At 43.4% G+C, this 19,398-nt stretch overlaps 1 protein-coding gene and 1 long non-coding RNA gene across 7 annotated transcripts in view, besides 2 other annotated features; one reads left to right on the plus strand and one right to left on the minus strand.

Moving 5' to 3' along the window:
- Positions 1–3,686: 3,686 nt before the first annotated feature.
- Positions 3,687–15,658, minus strand: LOC101927013 (uncharacterized). The gene is made up of 3 exons (XR_246160.5): positions 15,422–15,658; positions 7,748–7,925; positions 3,687–4,048 (listed from the first exon to the last, which is right to left on the minus strand). It is a non-coding gene; the product is annotated as an uncharacterized LOC101927013 (long non-coding RNA).
- Positions 3,945–4,696: an enhancer, noted in NCBI's record as "NANOG-H3K27ac-H3K4me1 hESC enhancer chr10:95505761-95506512 (GRCh37/hg19 assembly coordinates)". NCBI's record gives its function as "activates a minimal SCP1, AML or CMV promoter by ChIP-STARR-seq in naive H9 embryonic stem cells {active_cell/tissue: H9 hESC(naive)}" and the evidence as "EXISTENCE:reporter gene assay evidence [ECO:0000049][PMID:30033119]".
- Positions 7,043–8,025: an enhancer, noted in NCBI's record as "OCT4-NANOG-H3K27ac hESC enhancer chr10:95508859-95509841 (GRCh37/hg19 assembly coordinates)". NCBI's record gives its function as "activates a minimal SCP1, AML or CMV promoter by ChIP-STARR-seq in naive and primed H9 embryonic stem cells {active_cell/tissue: H9 hESC(naive and primed)}" and the evidence as "EXISTENCE:reporter gene assay evidence [ECO:0000049][PMID:30033119]".
- LGI1 (leucine rich glioma inactivated 1) overlaps positions 15,877–19,398 on the plus strand; it is a 40,224-nt gene continuing 36,702 nt past the window's right edge. For 5 of the 6 annotated variants that reach the window (XM_017016911.3, NM_005097.4, NM_001308275.2 and 2 more), the window contains exons 1-2: positions 15,877–16,300; positions 16,701–16,772. In XM_017016911.3, coding sequence (XP_016872400.1) covers positions 16,086–16,300; positions 16,701–16,772 — 287 coding nt within the window. In that variant the 5' untranslated portion in view covers positions 15,877–16,085. Of the gene's footprint in view, positions 16,310–16,700; positions 16,773–19,398 lie in introns of all 6 variants that reach the window. The other variant, NR_131777.2, reaches the window with a different exon arrangement.

Raw genomic sequence — 19,398 nt, forward strand, 5'->3', positions numbered from 1 at the left:
CTGTGTCCCCACATGGCCTTTCCCCTCTGTGCATGTGCACCTCTGGTGTCTCTTCCATTTTTCTTTTCTTTTCTTTCTTCTTCTTTTTTTTTTTTTTTTTTTTTTAGACAAGGTCTGGCTCTGTTGCCCAGGCTGCAGTGCAGAGGCACATCTTGGCTCACTGCAATCTCCGCCACCCCCAGGCTCAAGCCATCCACCCACCTCAGCCTCCCAAGTAGCTGGACTACAGGTGCACACCACCATGCCAGGCTAATTTTTGTATTTTTTTATAGAGATGGGGTTTCACTATGTTGCCCAACTGGCCTCAAACTCATGAGCTCAAGCCATCTGCTTGCCTTGGCATCCCAAAGTGCTGGGATTACAGGTGTGAGCCACCTCGCCGGGCCCCCTTTTTCCTAAGGACAGAAATCCTACTGCATTAGGGCTCCACCCTTTTTTACCTCATTTGACCTTAATTACTTTCTAAAGGCGCTATCGCCAAATATAGTCACATTGGAGGTTAAGGCTTCAACATGAATTTTGGGGGGATAAAATTCAGTCCTTGACAACATTTATTTAGCATTTTCTTTGTACTAAGAGATTTCAAATACAGAACCATCTTTAATGCTCACTCCAACCTGAGGAGATGGGGACCATTTTACAGACATGGTTAGGGAGATTAAGTAACCTGCTAAAGATCACCACTACCCAGGTGGCAAGTGGCAAGACTGTCGTCTGACTCTGGGGAGACTATATGATAGCCAGAGCTAAAAGTAGGTCATTCGTGGAGTGGTTGGGAAGGTTTCATAACCTCTACAACTTCCTCATATTTACTGTTTGTCATACAGTAGTTCCCTGTTATCTGCAGTTTCACTTTTTGAAGTTTCAGTTACCCTCGGTGAACTGAGGTCCAAAAATATTAAATGGAAAGTTCTAAAAAATAAATAATTTGTAAGTTTTAAATTAAGCACCATTCTGAGTAGCATGATGAAATCTTGCACCCTCCCACTCCACCCTCGGATGTGAATAATCCTTTTATCCAGTGTATCCACAATGTATACGCTACCAATCCGTTAGTCACTTAGTAGCCGTCTCAGTTATCAGATCAAAAAGAGTATGCTGCCCTGGTCCCAGCTACTCAGGAGGCTGAGGCTGGAGGATCCCTTGAGCCTAGGAGTTTGAGGCTGCAATCAGCTACCATCATGCCTGTGAATAGCTACTGCACTCCAGCCTGGGCAACATAGCAAGACCCTGTCTCAAAAACAAACGAACAAAAAATCAAAACTTAGTATAATATATACATAAACTGTAGTGTTGAAACTCTCCTTTGTCAGGTCTTGTCTTTTTACTCATATTCTTATTTTTTAAATATACTTGCTGCCATTAATTTGGAGTTTTCTATTTTAATTTATTTTAGACTGATTTACTGTCATGGAATTATTCTTCAACTTACTATTTTTTTTATGTAATTATAATGTCTGCAGTAATTTTGCAATATTATATCATCAATACCCATATAAGCACAATTAAATAGGGTTCAGTATTATCCATGGTTTCAGGCATCCACCGGGGTCTTGAACTACTATAGCCCTCTGACCCTTAAAATAAAATGGTCCTGTGGGATTGACTTCCAGGGCAGTAACATCTGGAAAAGCCATGGAGACCAAGTCCCAGGTACAGCGAGTGTTGTAAGAATGAGGATTTCAAGGACTGAGGAGAGTGGTGGAAACCAACCACCAAGCTACCCTAAACGCCTGGCAGCTGCAAGATGGAAGAAAAGAGGATGCAGGCAGCTGGCTCGTGACTGGGATTCATGAGAGAAAAGCCATACAGGTCCTGGTAGGCTGGGAGGGGCCACACTCATCCCCTCACTCCCTTCCTCATGCCCTCCCTCACTGCCTTATTCAATAGTTATTGAGCTCCTCCTGTGGCCAGCACTACCAGGTACTGGAGGATTTAGCACCCCTATCAAGGATTCCTTTCTTTATTCTCCCTAAAGGCCCCTTTCTGGGAACAACAACGTCTCCCTCTACTGCCCCTGCAAAAAACAAAATAAAATTGCCCTTAAGAAATGATCAATTAACTTTCACATTTTCTTGGGTTCAAATAATAGCTCTGCCTTTGGTGAAGTTTATGACCTATTTCTTTCTCCTCTTTACCCTCAGTTTCCTTATCGGGAAAAATGGACATATCAACAATATCAACCTCAGAGAAATGAACAACACATTGTAATATACATCGAAAGATTCTTAGCACAATGTTCAGCACCTAACCAAGGCCCAGTAAGGCAAGATACCTTTTACTTCTTGTACTTTTTTTCTTCTTTATTATTATTCTCCTTGTTCCCTGTTTTCTTCCTAAAAACTATGCCTCAAAACCCTTGGTCCTCTTTGTGAGAATTCAGAGGCAAAGGAGGGAGGAGGTTTCCCAGATCTCACTGAGGGAAGAGGCTGAGGTGGGAAGCTGCCCACCACCGTGGTCACCTGACATGCACAGGGAAGTCAGGGCCCTGGGAGGCTTTCTGGAGAGATCAAGGCAGAGTCGGGGCCCTTTAGGTTTAGTTCAAACCGTAGTCAGGATTCTGTGCTGTTGTTGCTGCTCCGCCAGCCTGCACATCACCCTCACCGCACTTGTTTTCTCTTGTTTAATTGCTCATCTCCTCCACTAGAAGGCAGGAACTCTGTGGGTTTAGCTTTCTTTTTTATTGTTTTGTTTTGTTTTGTTTTGTTTGTTTTGTTTTGAGACAGTCTTGCTCTTGTTTCCCAGGCTGGAGTGCAATGGCGCGATCTCAGCTCACTGCAACCTGGGCCTCCCAGGTTCAAGCGATTCTCCTGCCTCAGCCTCTCAAGTAGCTGGGATTGCAAGCATGTGCCACCATGCCCAGCTAATTTTTGTATTTTTAGTAGAGACGGGGTTTTACGATATCGGCCAGGCTGGTCTTGAACTCCGACTTCAGGTGATCGATCCACCTGCCTCGGCCTCCCAAAGTGCTGGGATTATAGGCGTGAGCCACCACGCCTGGCCTCTAGCTTTCTACTGAATGCCCAGTGCCACAAGCACCACGCATGGAGAACACGCTTAAACGTTTGTTGAATAAACAAACTGGGACAACTATGCTGAGTAAGAAATAAAATTCATTTGCTCGTAGTAAAAAAAAAAAAAAAACAAATCCAGTGTTTACTTAGCTCTAATCTGAGCAACATAATTATAGTCAAAGGTTGGATGATAGACTCACCACTTAAGCAAAGCCTGTGTCCATCATTACGCACTTTCATGTTGGCCCATGAGAGTAGCAAAAGAAAATGCTGGATGCTGTTTTCTTGCAGAGCTTTAACCATCAGCTCCTAGTGCTGACACTGTCATTTGAGACAGCCCTCTGAAATCCAGCTCCACTTCAGGAAATGGCCAAAAGGATGCCAGCTCTGGGCTGTGTTTCTTCAGTGTTCTGGGATTTACCCTCACACTAAAGTGGAAGTGCCTATTACACAGGCCTGGGGTTGAGCGGGTGTAGTTTCGGTCAGGAAGCCATTCTAGTCTGTTCTCCTCACTCCTCAGGCCTGGTGTCCCCTCTCATTCCCTGCCTCGCCCCAGTTATTCTGACAGCCTCAGGAGGGCGCTCTTATATAAGCGGCACCGTGGGTAGTAGGATACATACTGGAATAGTAACAGCTTTCTATGGGCTAACTACTTTCTTACATTATCTCGTGTCCTTTTTAAATTTTATTTTATTTTAAGTTCTGGGGTAAATGTGCAGGAGGTGCAGGTTTGCTCCATAGGTAAATGTGTGCCATGGTGGTTTGCTGCACCTATCAATCCATCACCTAGGTATTAAGCCCAGCATGCATTAGCTATTTATCCTGATGCTCTCCCTCCCCCCGCCTGCCCTCCACAGGCCCCAGTGTGCGTTGTTCCCCTCCCTGTGTCCATGTTCTCATGGTTCAGCTCCCACTTATAAGTGAGAACATGCAGTATTTGGTTTTCTGTTCCTGTGTTAGTTTGCTGAAGATAATGGCTTCCAGCTCCATCCATGTCCCTGCAAAGGGCATCTCATGTTCTTTTCACAGTGATCCTGTAAGAGAAACACTAGTATTATTTCCATGCTATATATGAGGAAACTGAGGCTGAGAGACAATGAAAACTTGCCCAAGGTCACTCAGCTGCTAAATAGCAAAGCCAAGACTTGAGTTGTAATCTTCACATTAGGCTGCATCCTAGTGTTTTGGTGTGACCCAAAGACTCCTCCAGGTATCCCCAGAGAGCCTCCAGAGCCAGAGCATGGTCAGCCTCAGTCGTTTCCTTGTTCTAAACATCATATAAGCAAACAATACCATGCAGACTTTTTTTTTTTTTTTTTTTGACAGAGTCTCTCTCTGTCACCCAGTCTGGAGTGCAGTAATGCAATCTCGACTCACTGCAGCCTCTGCCTCCCGGTTTCAAGTGATTCTCCTGCCTCGGCCTCCTGAGTAGCTGGGATAACAGGCGCCTGCCACCACACCTGGCTAATTTTTGTATTTTCAGTAGAGACGGGGTTTTGTCATGTTGGCCAGGCTGGTCTCGAACTCCTGACCTCAGGTGATCCGCTCACCTCAGCCTCTCAAAGTGCTGGATTACAAGTGTGAGCCACCGCGCCTGGCCCCATGCAAATACTTCACACAATATGTGCTTCACATAGACAAGAATTCAAGAACTGTCTATAAGTTTATATACATCAAAAATAAGTCACATGAAAAATATTTTTGGAAACAGACAGAAGTCAGTTTGAAGCCAAAATATATTGTCTTGGACGAGTCTAACCTCTGTAAGCTTCAGTGGGGATAATGCCTTGCTCACACGGCAGGTGAAATGATCAACAGAGACAATGTATGGGAAGCACCTGGCCTGCAGGGGGCCCAGCAAGCATGGGTTCCTTTGTCTTCTTTGCTGCACTGCTGGGAGCAATAGGGGCAGTGTTGAATGTGAGCCAGCAGTAGGCTGGTGCAGAAGCCTTGTGCTTCTCTGCTGTTAACACCCATTTCTGCCCTGGACCCTCAGGGCACTAATCCTATGGTCATAACCAGTTTCCTCATTGCTTTGCTATTTTCTGCGGTCACATTCCCAGCTTCTTGGGTCATCATTCCTACAGAAACCAATGGGTGTAACACAGGCCATAAGTCACGGGCAGCAATGGAAAGCTCTGAGTTCTTCCAGAACGACAGTATAAAGCCAAACAAAACAAAACAGATCCCTTCTAAAGGGATAAGACAAAAGCAAAAAGGCTGAAATCCAACATCATGAAGTTCAAGTTTCCAAAGCATGAACAGATTAGTTGCATGATTTTCCTCTTAACTTCAGAATCTTAAACCAAAAAACTAAAACAAAACAAAAGCAGTTAATAACTTCCTCGAAAGAATGAAGAAGTATCTTTAAAAAAAAAAAAAAAGGAACTGCAGACCAGCCTGGCCAACATAGTGAAACCCCGTCTCTACTAAAAATACTATATATATATATAATATATATATTAGCCAGGCATGGTGGTGGAGGCCTGTAGTCCTAGCTACTCGGGAGGCTAAGGCAGGAGAATCGCTTGAACCCAGGAGGCGGAGGTTGCAGTGAGTTGAAATCACACCACTGCACTCCAGCCTCGGTGACACAGTGAGACTCTGTCTCAAAAATAAAAATAAATAAATAAATAAATAAATAAAAACCTGCTAAGAACTATCTTGGGAGTGATTCAGCCATAAAGAAGAAGAGGAAGATAGAAGAGTAATCATATTTTCAACTTTATATTCCAATAACCATGCCCCGCTCTAGGGCAATACCTCTTAGAGCCACTGCTTTTCCTTAGTACCACCCCCAAATATATTTTCTGGCTAGATTATTTCCACCTTGCCCATGACTTAGAATTATCCTTTTTTTTTAATTCCCTAACAAACTTCTTTTCTTGAGTAGATTTCTATTCAAGTCTAGCCAGTAAAAAGGGTGGCCTTCCATGACCTTGCCTAAATTTTTGGTGCTTAGTTCTGATAAAATTCAAATATATTTCCAGAAAAAAATGCTAAGTCATTAAGATCATACCTTATTAAAAATATTCTGGGATAATTTTATTCTGCATTCTTTTTTTTTTCTTTTTTTTTTTTTTTTTTGAGATGGAGTCTCGCTCTCTGGCCCAGGCTGGAGTGCAGTGGCACGATCTCAGCTTACTGCAACCTCCGCCTCCCGGGTTCACGCCATTTTCCTGCCTCAGCCTCCTGAGTAGCTGGAACTACAGGCACCCGCCACCATGCCCAGCTAATTTTTTGTATTTTTAGTAGAGACGGGGTTTCACTGTGTTAGCCAGGATGGTCTCGATCTCCTGACCTTGTGATCCGCCTACCTCAGCCTCCCAAAGTGCTGGGATTACAGGCATGAGCCACCATGCCCGGCCTGATTCTGCATTCTTTTGGCTTAAACTTTACCATGTGCATTTTGGTTAACTGCAGTACATGTACCTAGCATGCCCCGAATTGGAAAACAAACTCTTTCTAAGCCTCTGTGTTTAAAAATTATTTCTCCTTTCTGGGGAGAGAAATTAGGAAGCTATAGAATGTTAGTGCTATAAAGATAAAGAAACTGAGGCCCAAGGAAATGAAATGCCTTGTTCAAGCCCACAGAGCCTTTCTACAGTTCTTCCCAGAGGATATCTGTCAATTTATTTTGGATTCCTGTATGAAGAGCATTCAGCTTCCCCGAGTTAATGGATTATTGACTGATGTTCAGAAAAATGCATAAAGAGGTTCGCAGTGTTTCCACTGTGAGAAACTCTTTTACTCCTTCTCAGTGGGGGTGCTAAGAGCATTTGGGGCAGGACAATTCTTCATGCAGAGGTCCTAAGAGTTTCAGGATGTTAGCATTTCCAGTCCAACAATGGTAAGTCTAGCATTTCCAGTCCACCTAATGGGAATTCTAGGATCACAACAAAGAGAATCCTCACTCTCCTCCCTACCCTGTCTTCCCCTGGGTCTTCTATAATACTCTCCTCAAAAATAATAATTCTTTTTTTTTTTTCAAAGTTTCTTGAGCATCCAGAAATAGCCACGAGTGATGTTTATTCATTCACTAGCTTCAGGCATATGGTGCAAGATGAAGCAGGAGGCAACTAGGCCCAGTGTTTTCAGAACTCCTCAGGACACCCAAACAGCTATTTGCTACTTACTTTGGGAGGTGCAAGAACCTGCTTAACACTTTCCTTGTCTTTATGGTAATCACTCCCCAGTAGGAGTGCTGGCAGGGGCTGCTTACATGACAGGATCTCCAGAGATTACCCAGCCCAAGAACTTCCTTTGAAAATCAGAGCCTAAATGTGAAGCGTTGAGCCCAAGGTCAAACAGCTCATCTATTGCAGAACCAGATCTTGGCATAGTCTTTCTTCTAGTCCCAGAGGCAGCCTTCCCTTATGCGACAGCTTTTCCAAGGGTTATGCTGGTTATGTAACTAGACTACTCAGGGTTCCAACACCAATCGCCTCATAGGAGTTCTGTACTCAGGCAGTTATTGCCTGCTCCTGTGTGAATAAGATCAGATTACCTTTGCTCCAGGAAATCACTCCGATCCAAGGAGATGGTGCTGTGGAGCGATTAAGAGCATGTGACACTAATGTCTGAATGCCTCACTTTCAAGCCAGCACAGCCTCTTATTCTTGGGCAAGCTGCCTAGCCTCTCCATGCCTCAGTTTGCTCATATGAAAAATGGGGGCAAATTAACCAAACTATGTTACAATAATTAAATGAGGTAATTATTCTAATGCACCTACCGCAGGGTCTGGCACATTATAAGGATGTGTTAAAGGTTGGTTATTGTTGTTGTCGTCATTGTCATTGTCATCATCATCATGAATTACATTGTTTTTCCTTTGCTGGGAATTGAACCAGGGAGAGAAAGCAGGGCTGGTTCATTTTCTCCCACCAGCATGAGCCAGAGGAGGCGCTTCCCTTGGGGACATAAGCAATAAACTCCAATCAATGGTTAATTCAGGTTCTGCTTGAGTTTAAAGGCAGGTATAGAAATGTATAAATTCAGCATACTTAACTTTGGTAATAAAAATTAAGAAAAACTCTATTTTTTAAGAGCAAAGTACCAGCCCACATCTCTAAACTAACTTTTCTCTTTTATAAGACCATTTTAACTGTTTCTGCTAGGTAATGATCATTTAATCAAGGGCATAAAAAGATAAATAAATTGTGGGTACTGCCTTCAAGGAGGCTTTCTTAAATATTTATTTTTTAATTGACAAATAATAAGTGTACATATGCATGGGGCACATAGCGATGTTTTGATACATCAGGGTAATCAGCATATCCATCATCTCAGATATTTATCATTTCTTTGTGTTGGGAACATTCAATATCCTCTTTCTAGCTATTTGAAACTCTATTATTGTTAACTATTGTCATTCTACAGTGGTATAGAACGCTAGAACTTATTCCTCCTATCTAGTTGTAATTTTATGTCCTTTAACAAAACTTTCTGTATGCCCTCCACCTCCCCCTACCCTTCCCAGCCTCTAGTATCCTCTGTTCTACTTTTTACTCCTATGAGATCAACTTTTTTAAGCTTCCACGTATGAATGAGAACATGTGGTGTTTAACTCTCTGTTTTTGGCTTATTTCCGTTAACATAACGTCCTCCAGTTCCAACATCCATGTTGCCATGAATGGCAGGATTTCACTGTTTTTTAATGGCTAAATAGTATTCCATGGTGTGTATATGCTACATTTTCTCTATCTATTCATCTGTTGTTGGACATCTAACTTGATTCCATATCTTGATTATTGCGAATAGTGCTGCAGTAAACATGGGAGTGCGGAGGTCTCTACAAGGAGGCTTTTAAAGGCAGAACTTGCCGCCTTTCTTCCCATTCGCTTGGGTGTCATTCCGTGACAGGTTTGGAATCTTGATAAACTAAATAGAGCCATGGCTGAAATTCTCCTTGTTTCACTAGCCCTCCTGCTTCCTTCCCTGCAGACCACCATTCCTAATGGGATGGTTCCCCAGGCTTCAAGCTCTTCCCAGTTCTCTTTAAGCCCGGTCAGCTGCTTTCTGCTGAAGAGTGGAAGGATACATTCAACATGTTTTTAAATTTTCTGTATCCTGATGCTTTGACACCTGGGGCTGTGCTGATGACCCTGGAGGGACTGCCACTCCCAGGGTTAGCCAATTCCGAGAAACAGTAAATGACTCACGTGGGAGGGCGCACCTTTCCTATGCAAACCAACCGATCCAGTATCCATACCCCCAATCACTTCCTTTATTGGGCCGTCTCTCGGGGCCACCATCCACCTACTCTAATCACCCCAGGGCCAGTAACAGACAACTAGGGACAGTCCCTGTGCCCCAAAGTTCACTGAACTTATTCAAAGGAGCCAATCCTGAGCCTGTTTACCCTGTCTTGCATTACCATTCCTGCAGAAATCACAATAAAGGCTCTTGTCTGCATTTTCCCCTTGCTCCCTCGGGCCCCTGACCAGCCCTGATGCTTCCCCATATGCCCCCACTGCATGACAAGCTGTGCCTCCTGTTTTATACCCATGGGGAACTCTCTAGAATTTCATAGGGAGCTTTTAACAGCCATACCCTAGACCAATTAAATCAGAACCTCTAGGAATGTGACCCAAACTTTAAGTATTTTTTTTAATTCCCCAGGTGATTCGAAAGTGTAGCCAACTTTGAGAATGGGTGCTTTAAAACATCCCCATCGACGTTTTCATAGTACACATTTCTAAGTTAAAAAATCTTTCCCATAGTAATCTCCAATGTCTTCCTTCAAATACTAAAAAATGTGGAGGGTACTTTAACTTAGAATCTTACCCTCTCCCCTATCTGCTGCCACTTATATCTACATTTATGCCTCAATTGCATAATTATCCATGAGGGAGATCAGATTTTGCCAATAAAAAAGATTTTACCCAAGACAGTGAGGAACTTTTGGTGAAGAAGGGGTTAAGATGATAGCCAGCCCAGTTGCATGCTGGGAATTGTAGTACAATAGTAGCGCCCAGCCAGTGAGGTGCTACCAGCTCCGAAGCAGCTCACGGTATCCCTCATTCCACACAGCCCATCAGAGAGGCAGTGTCCAGCAGTGGCTAATGCTGTGGACATCAGAGCCAGGACACCTAATTTCGATACCAGCACCACCTTTCACTAGCTACAGGACCCTGGGCACACGACTTAACCTCCTGACCCTCTGTTTCCTTTTCTGCTAATATAGGGGAAATAATAGTAATATCTATCTAGCCCATGGGATTGTTATGAGGATTAAGTGAGTTAATATGGGTAAAGTGCTTTAGAATGGCAGCTGGCACATAATACGCATTTTATAAGAGTCAGCTTTCATTATTATTACTTCTCAACCCCTTTCTTGGCCCAAGTTCTATTCTCATGGACTATAAAAGGTGAAAATCCCCTGATTCCACAGTTAGAACATGCGAGTTTAGCTGTCCTTGGAGAAAGTATTCATATCTATTTGTCTAAATTGTCTTCTGGTCATTTCTCTTTAAAACCATAAGGTTGAGTTAGGGGCAAGGGCCAATGATATTAGCTATCAGAGCCCAGCACTCCTACCCAAATGAGCATCGCTGGATTTCACCTGCCCAGCCTGTTCTCTCTGCTCTGACAGCAGTACCCAACTTGCTTTTGTGGAACCACCTCTCTCCCACCATGTGCACTCTTGGTGAGATTGCCAGTCAAGGTGCCCCACTTTCCCAGGGCAATGGGCAGGGGTGCCTGACCCAAGATCAGTCCACCATACTCATCTTTTGGGGAGGAACATAAGGATAAGAACAGGTTGGACTGAATTTGCCAGAGGGCATCATCCATTAGCTCCTGCCACATAGATTCCCAAGCTTTCACAAGTTCCTTCATTCTAAATCCTGCTTGGTCAACCCTTCCTTGGATTCTGTGAGTCACTCAATCACCATGGCAACAAGGTCCTTTTACACTTATGTTGGCAGAGTCAGTGTCTGTCACTTGCTACCAAAGAGTCCTAATGACACACTACTGCCAAATAATCTTAAAGATTGGCCCTCAATCCCCTTCCCACTTATTTCCAGTGGAACTATCAGTAGTCCAGTGCCTTTTTTGCAACATTCTTTCCATGTACATCATCACTAATCCTAATATCAACAATGCAGAGATAGTATTGTTATTTTTACTTCCTTGTTGCAAATGAGGCACAGAGAAGCTAATCAACTTTCCTAAGTTCACACAGTCAGTGAAGAACAGAAACAATATTCCGACAGGTCTAATTGCTAACTTCAACCAGTAAGTGAAATTTATTGGAGTCAAGATCACTTCCCTGCCATTTTGGACTCCTGGGTTGGGAAAGGATCTTTAGCATCCTCTCATGCAGTTTTTTTTTCCCTTTCTTTTTCTTTTCTCTTCTTTTTTTTTTTTTGGTTGTAAACTGAAAGAAGCATGATTTATATCACAGCTGTGCCTTCATACACACACAAAGAATGGAAACAAAGGCTTCACAAGGCAATAGTTATCCTTACTGGTGCAATATGCTCCAATTTTGTATTTGAAATGATTTATTTTTCAAATTCTACTTGTACTCACTAGATTGATATTGATGTCCCGATCCACTATCATATCTGACACGCAGCTTTGCAAACCCTGCTCTGTTGAGAAAGCTGCTTAAAATGACACCAGTTTGCATGTCTGAGTGTTTGTAAAAGGAGGCAAGGCCAAGCTTGATCTTCTAAGCCTCCTAATAGTGATTTGTTTACTTGTACAATGTGTGTTTCCTAGGCCACACCAGCCTGAGGGGAAAACTGGGATCATAACCAGGCACATGCTGTTCCTTTCTCACTCTGCTTTCAACAGCTCTTCCAGAACCACCAGAAGCCCCCAGACGAGAACCCCCTTCTGGTCTTTCTGAGGATGTCCAGGGAACACTGTACATGTGCTCCCAAACATCATTCCTTGTCCCTCATTTTCCTTCTCTTCTGCTCTGCCTCCCTGCTGGGATCCTTTCCCAGTGCCTTTGATGTCTGCAGGGCTGTCACTGCTGCTGGGCCACCAAGGCTGAGCTGCTGCTGGTGAAAAATTCCATGACTTTAGTCTGACTCCCAGGCCTGGATGGGAGCATTGTTTGTCTCACCTCTTCAGCAGCCTCTGGTGTCACCACTGTGCATAGTTCCTTATAGCACCTGCATGCCATGCAATGGTGCCCACCACATTAGAGAGAAGTCCCACTTTTTTACAGGGATCCCAAAAGAGATTCCTCTTACTCCCTTCTAACTTACACGTGTTCAAGGGCAGTAGGCTGAAAAAAGTCTTCATCCTGTATTCACAACCACCTTAATCTTCTCCACCTGTAGACCTTGTCCTTGGGCTAAGCATGCGTGCTCCTACTCTCACCCAAACTGGTGAGATTTTTTTTTTTTTTCCAGGAGGCAGCTTGGTTCCTTCTCATGGCGGAACCCTTGACAAGGCCACAGTGTGTCATACTGCTCAGAAGTGCCTGCTTCCCAGAGTGAATATACGCTTCAGCTAACCTCATTTTTATTTGAGAGCTTTGCTTCCCAGGTCCCAGAAGTCACATGTTCAGAATTCAAGTCCTGTTGCAACCATGATGAGAATGATGGTGATGACGGTGAAGATGATACTAAATCTTTCACACGTATCAGACTGCACAATAAGCACTTTTAGATACATTATCATGTTTCATTTTCTCAACAACTCTATGTGATACATACTATTATTATCCTCGTTTTACAGAGGAGAAAATTGTGACTTAGGAAGGGTAAATCGGCCCATGGTCATATGGCTGGCAAAGTGCAGAGCTCAGCTACTCCTCTACAGCTCAGACTGGGCATTGAGCCTGCCTCAGCTAGGCCTCCTGGCTTCCCTGGGCCTCCTTCCAACTCTGCTTTAATCCTTTCCAAGCCCCTCTCCCCAGGGTCCCTATTGTGATCCACAAGTGGGTGGCCACACCTTATCTGAAGGCCTCCAAGATGGTGGAAACCCCTAAGCTTCCACCTCCTGCTTCCTACATCATCTCTGTGCTCCCTGGGGCTTCCTGGAGCAGTAAGATGGGAAGCATTATCAGCAATGGGGCCTCCTCTTCAGGCCTCTCAAGACTTCAATGCAGCGAACTGCCCTCATCTCCCCGAGTCTCTCCTCAGATCCAATTCTGGAGCCAGGAAGTGGTTTCTCCTCCCAAAAAGGCCGCCAGCATCCTGCATTACATGGTTAAATTTTGTCTGACCTTAGTGGGTGTTTTTAATTGAATAAAGAATTCAAGTCTGGGTTTTAAATGCCATAGAAAAATAAAAAGTTACTGTCTTTTCAGAATGCCCATTGTAATTTGTCCTTAGAGTTTCTCCTCCCCTCCCCTCCCCAATGGTCCTTTTCCCCCTTGAACTGACAAACTGAACTGCCAGATAAATACAGCTGCAAAGTGAATAGTATGGATATGATTTCTTCCCCTCATTCATTTGCCTTCCTAGCTTTACCAAGTCAAAAGAAAAAGACCGCTCACCCTTTCTTCGGCTGTGTCTTCATACCACAAAGCCAACAGCTAGTCAAGCAATCTTCATGATTTGAAACATTTGAAAGTGAAACACAGGGAGTGACTTAGCCTGATGGATTACATTAGTCATTGTAACCAAGTTTCTGCCATGGGGCTTACCCCATGCAGAGTGGTGGTCTCTGTGTGTCCTCTCTGTACCTCGGTTTCTCCATCTGTAATATGCAGGGATCGAATCCAGGATCTTTGAGGTCCCTGAATCTTCTCGATGTCTTCATTTTGTAGTTACAGAACACATCATTTACAAGTCAGTTGATTTAGAGGGTGACTTTGAATAAAAACAATCCTCCATAAAACTTTTACCACATAATTATTTTACGGAGCAAGTTTCCACTAGGCACTTGAAGCAGGGTTCAATTTACAAAAACCCGACTTGCAGCCAACTTTTAAGTGACACTTTTACTGTTTAAAGTGAGGCTTGCGCAGAGGTCACAGTTTCTAAAAACACTGCCCTCCATTCCCTCCTCCACAGAGTCCTTGACAGTGAAGCATTCGTAGAATACACTTTAAAATCATGACTTCTTGTCAACGAAGAGTTTTTCTTTTTCCCTTCCGTAAAAAACAACACACAGTATTTACAACCCCACAAAAACTGACTTAGTGATAATAACCTACTGGTCCTTTTGAAACACAAACCAGTTAATATCACTCCCCTGCCTGATTCTACAGAGGTGTCCCATTGCTCTGCAGATCATGAGCCAGACTTTATGTATGCCGTTCCCTCTACCTGGAGTGTTCTCACGAACCCTCTCTGTAACTCCTCCTTACCTCTGAACTCAGCTCAATCACTGCTACTTCAGGGAATTGGCCCCTGACTTCCTTGACTAGGTTAGATCTCTTTATTAGAACTGCAAGGTGCAACTGTAAGTTTATTTGGCTGGGCATGACCATGAATGGACTGTACACTCTGCTGTTGCTGGCATAGCCATCCAGGTTGCCCACTACATGCACAATGCTACACAGGCCCTGGGTTCCCTAGCGGGGTCTCTAACCTCGTGGACCTTGCAATCTTCTGGGGTAAACAGACAGTTATCAAATGTGAGAATGCACGTGAATGGCACTGTCCCCCGCAAAGAGTTTACAGAGAACTGAACAAGGGATTGAAGTTAGCATGGGGCCAGCTACATGAGCGAAAGGGTAGAATGGCAATGCTTTCAGCTCTGATGCAGAATGAGGTTATGTCAAAATCGCCTTTGCTCAAGCAGTCCTTTTAATACTTTCAGTCTAAGAAGCTAGAGGAGAAAGGAACGTGGACTGATATCCCAGGCTGTTCGTGCCAGCTTGAAGGATGGCCGCCTTCGCCATAGTGAGATAACCGGGGGTCTGTTTTCCTCATCTTCCTCCATCCCAAGGGTCTTCCTACTCTCTTGGACTAAACTATCCCACCCCAAGGCCAGGGGCTCTTGATTGCTTCTTTAAATGAATTTTCTTTTCCAAGGGCCCATCCGCTCACATCAAGTACACGAGTAACATAGCCTATCATTTTCATTTAATTCCAGAATGTCTTTACTATCATCCCCGTTTTACAGACAGGAGAATAGATTCAGCAAGTTCACAGCAGACCTGCGTTCTCAAAGCCAGGTGTCTGGTTCTCAGTCCAGCATTTCCCCCACCATGTCACAGCCTCGGGGCTGAGCCAGGCCTTTTTCAAAGCCCCAGGAAGCTAGAGCTGGCCGCCTCCTGCTGGCAGGGAGTTCCTTCCAGGCTTCTGGTGCTACTGCCAAAGAAGGGAGGGTGGGAGAAGAGAGGGAGGTGGATTATACACAGAGAGGGTCCCGCACTTCTGTTTCCCTTCCTTGTCATGGAAGGAGAGAATGAATTACGTGGGGGACCCAGGGGGATAGGAAAATCAATCATTCATGACAGTTAATAAGTGTCAGAAAAGTATGTACTCACATTCATCCCCTGAAAGTCACATTCTTCATCTGTTCTGATTTGTCTTTCACTGATGGCATTAGCCAGGTAGGCTCAGCAAGAAACATCAAAAGGTTTTAGCCCAATATTGTGGAGAGAGTTTCATTTAGCTTCATTTTTTCCAGCCGGGGCTGGCTCCAAAGCTAGTTTTTCTTACTAGGTTGTTTGCTACATGAAAAGCAGACTCCCAGAGGTTTCTGAGATTGCCGACATCCTATGCAAGATGACTGCTCCCACCCACCCGCCCACCCACTCACTAATAAGACATAATGCCGTCCTATTTTTGGTAACAATTAAAGGGCCTCCCGGTGAAAGCAGAAAGCTGTTTATTTTCTGTGACATCACTTCACTTTGCCTTCGAAGGCTGGTCTGTGCTCAGTGTTTTCGTGGTGATGCAAGTCGGCTCTCTCCTCCAGCAGTTGGATCCCTCCCATCTCACAGTACCTCACAGGTCTCTTCCCCCGAGCAGTGCATTGCTGGAGCGAGGAGAAGCTCACGAATCAGCTGCAGGTCTCTGTTTTGAAAAAGCAGAGATACAGAGGCAGAGGAAAAGGGTGGACTCCTATGTGACCTGTTCTTAGAGCAAGACAATCACCATCTGAATTCCAGAAGCCCTGTTCATGGTTGGGGATATTTTCTCGACTGCATGGAATCAGAAAGAAGCAAAAGGATGGGAAATGCCTGCATTCCCCTGAAAAGAATTGCTTATTTCCTATGTCTCTTATCTGCGCTTTTGCTGACTGAGGGGAAGAAACCAGCGAAGCCAAAATGCCCTGCCGTGTGTACTTGTACCAAAGATAATGCTTTATGTGAGAATGCCAGATCCATTCCACGCACCGTTCCTCCTGATGTTATCTCATTGTAAGGCCCGTAAGCATTTTGATATCTAATTTACGATTTAAAAATTCCAGCCGGTGGATTTGGGGCTTTGCATGTATTTGTAGAAGGGCATGGAGAGAGAGATTCCTCTTGCATGCTTGGCCATTTGACAGTGCTAACATTTGCTGCATTTAGAATTTTTGATTTTTTTAGCTGCTACTGAACATGCTTAGATACCCCCAGCCCTGAACATTATCATGAGAAACCTGTAGCCGATTCATTTCTCTTACTTCATCTGGGAAGGAATAGTATCGTACTTCATAAAATAGTGTCAAAATAGTCACTGTTATGCTAAACCGGATTAACATAAGGTTTGTTCTGTGTGTGTGTGTCTCTTTGTGTGTGTCTGTTTGTTTGTTTTCTCTTTTTTGTTTTCTTTCAGATCCTTTGTGAGATCTGGTTTTACTGAAATCTCAGAAGGGAGTTTTTTATTCACGCCATCGCTGCAGCTCTTGTGAGAAATATTTATATCATGACTATTTTTAATATGGCATATATTTGGATAAGCCTTCTAGTAAAATGATCTCAATATTAATTTTGTCAAATGTGATTCTATTTCTGAGAAAACAGAATATCCGTAAAGTGAGAGGTAGATGGGTTTGTTTGCGACTTCACACCAACAGTGCAGGTTGATTCTTACAATGGTAAATCTGTTAACCTGTCATGCTGTCTACTTTAATGGCTATTTATGAAGTTGTTGGAATCTTGCAACAATGATCCCAATTCCATTCCACTATTTTACTTTCATTTTTAACTTGGGAACTTGGGTTCTTTTGCCCTGGAGTTTTTGAATTAGTCAATACAGAACCCAGCATAACATATGCGCTCAAGATGTTGTCTCCGGGGATCTGGGGCAGGCTGCTACTCTGTATGATTTACCATGTGGGGAAAAAAAACACCTCAGCTCTTTCTAGGTAATTCCTTAAAATGTTAATTCTCAAGAGACTGTTTTTTAATCTCATCTAATTTATAACTAGTTCCATTACAAGGAGGGAAAGAAAATATTAATATAGGATAGTGCAAAGGATTACTCTCTGCTATATGTTTTGAGTTGGCCACAAGGGAACCACATACTCAGTCTATGCCTGAAAATATTCAAAAAAATAATATTTGACTAAGAAATCAGATCTGTTCACAGGCATAATGGAACACATAAAATTTGTTCTGATGTGTAATGTTTGGCAATTGGAGTCCTAGTCCTTACAGCGGTATCACATGGGGGTCAAGAGGTCTCCCAGGACTCAGGTATCAGGTCGCAGACTTGGTTTGTAGCTGGACGGATATGGGCAGAATTAGACAATTGTGGATCAGCTGAGTCTTGGCTATCTTAACTGCATGATTCAGGACCCAGGCCTTTCACTTGTTTGTTTTTTATTTTTTTATTTTCTTGCCTTACTTGGCCATTTTGGCTGTTTGAAGTTACATACACAGAGGCAAACAGCATGGAGTGGACGTTGGAGAGACAAGTGTTTAAACCTCACCCTGCCACTCATAGAACCTAAACATGTAGTCTTGTGCAGATTAGTATATCTCACTAAGCCTCAGTCTTCTTATCTTTAAAATGGAAGTGAGAACACATACTTCCAAGGTTTAAGTAGATAAAACACTTGGCATAGGGTGTGCCAAATGCTTACACATTTATAAATGGTAGGGTTTAAAAATTTTATATCAAGCTAAAAAGCTAAAAGTCACTCATCTATTGTTTTGTGTATATGAAATTCCTAAACTGGTTTGACTGTTTCATTGGATTCACAAACTTGATCAGTTGTTTTGACATTATGTAATGATGTTGGCTAATGCCCTTCTACTGGCTGATGTCTTCAAATGATTAGCAATTGACTAGATATTCCTAAGGGGTTTATCTGTTTGATTGATGGCTAGTGGTGTGACTGGGGGAAGTGTTAGTTAGCACATCAAACAAATCCAAAAAAGATAGATTCTTTCCCACAGAAAGGGGCAGAGTCTCTAATGCTGGGATCCTTCCATAGGATAAGAATTTGCTGTCTCTGAGAAAGTGATAAATTGTGTTTCTGGTCCTCACTTGTTAAATGAATAAATAGCTCTTTTAAAAAGCATCCTTTTGATATGCTAAGGCACCTCCCTTCCCCTAGGAAGTTACATAGATCTAGTTACATAGATCAGTCCTTAAAATTCCAGGAGTAGTGTCAGTAGACACTAGATGGACATTAGCTGTGGCACAGAAAGCCTGGAGTGATTAACCTAATCAATTACCACATCTCCACTTTGTTTTTGTTGGGTGGACCCAGTCACGGCAAGCACAGATGCTGGACAATGTTATAGAAATAGTTACCGGCTGCTGCAGGGTAATGTGATTTCACGTATTTAGAATCACAGAGGGAAGCCAAGGGACTGGTTTTTAAATAGCCCAACCGAGTGTGTGCCATGCCCGTGCCCCATGCTCCGAGTTCCTATGGAACATTCCAGCCTTTATTTCTAAAAGCAGTTCAGGTTTCAGAAATAACAAAAGGCGAGTAATTCTCTCCCAGTGTGTTCTCGGTTAACTCAGATTGGCTAACCTCAACATGGTAGACTTGTGCCAGAGCTGAACTTATGCAAAATTGTCAGGGGCCAAAGTTTGTCCCTAATCTCCAGGACCCTGTGCCTGAAGACTCTGCTCTCCATCCTTCTTGCCCAATATTCTCTGCTTCCGCCTATCCTCAGGAAAAGGTCTAATAAACTCATGTGCGGTGTGTAGGAAATATATGAGAAGGCTCTGAATATGAACTATGAAACGATCATAACAATTGTGGGAATGCATGGATCCCACAGAGAAAGATCTCTTCTGTGAGACAGGGCTGTCCAGTGCCCTGAAAACCCCATATGGGCTGCCAATCCCCCTTTGGAACATGAAGACCAATGGCATTGGACCACCAGATTAGGCCTAGATCACACAAGCCATTGAGGTTTGCAATGAATTCCAACAGCATTTGTGATTGTGAATTGCCACACTCACCCATCATACACTGTGAAGAGATAAATTTCAGAATCAATTCGGCTTGATTGACGTAGGAAGACAGTTCGTTGGTTTCTTGCTTTATTGTTGGGAAGGGTTAAAGCAA

Source organism: Homo sapiens, chromosome 10 (assembly GCF_000001405.40).
Source record: "Homo sapiens chromosome 10, GRCh38.p14 Primary Assembly".
Classification (NCBI taxonomy): domain Eukaryota; kingdom Metazoa; phylum Chordata; class Mammalia; order Primates; family Hominidae; genus Homo; species Homo sapiens.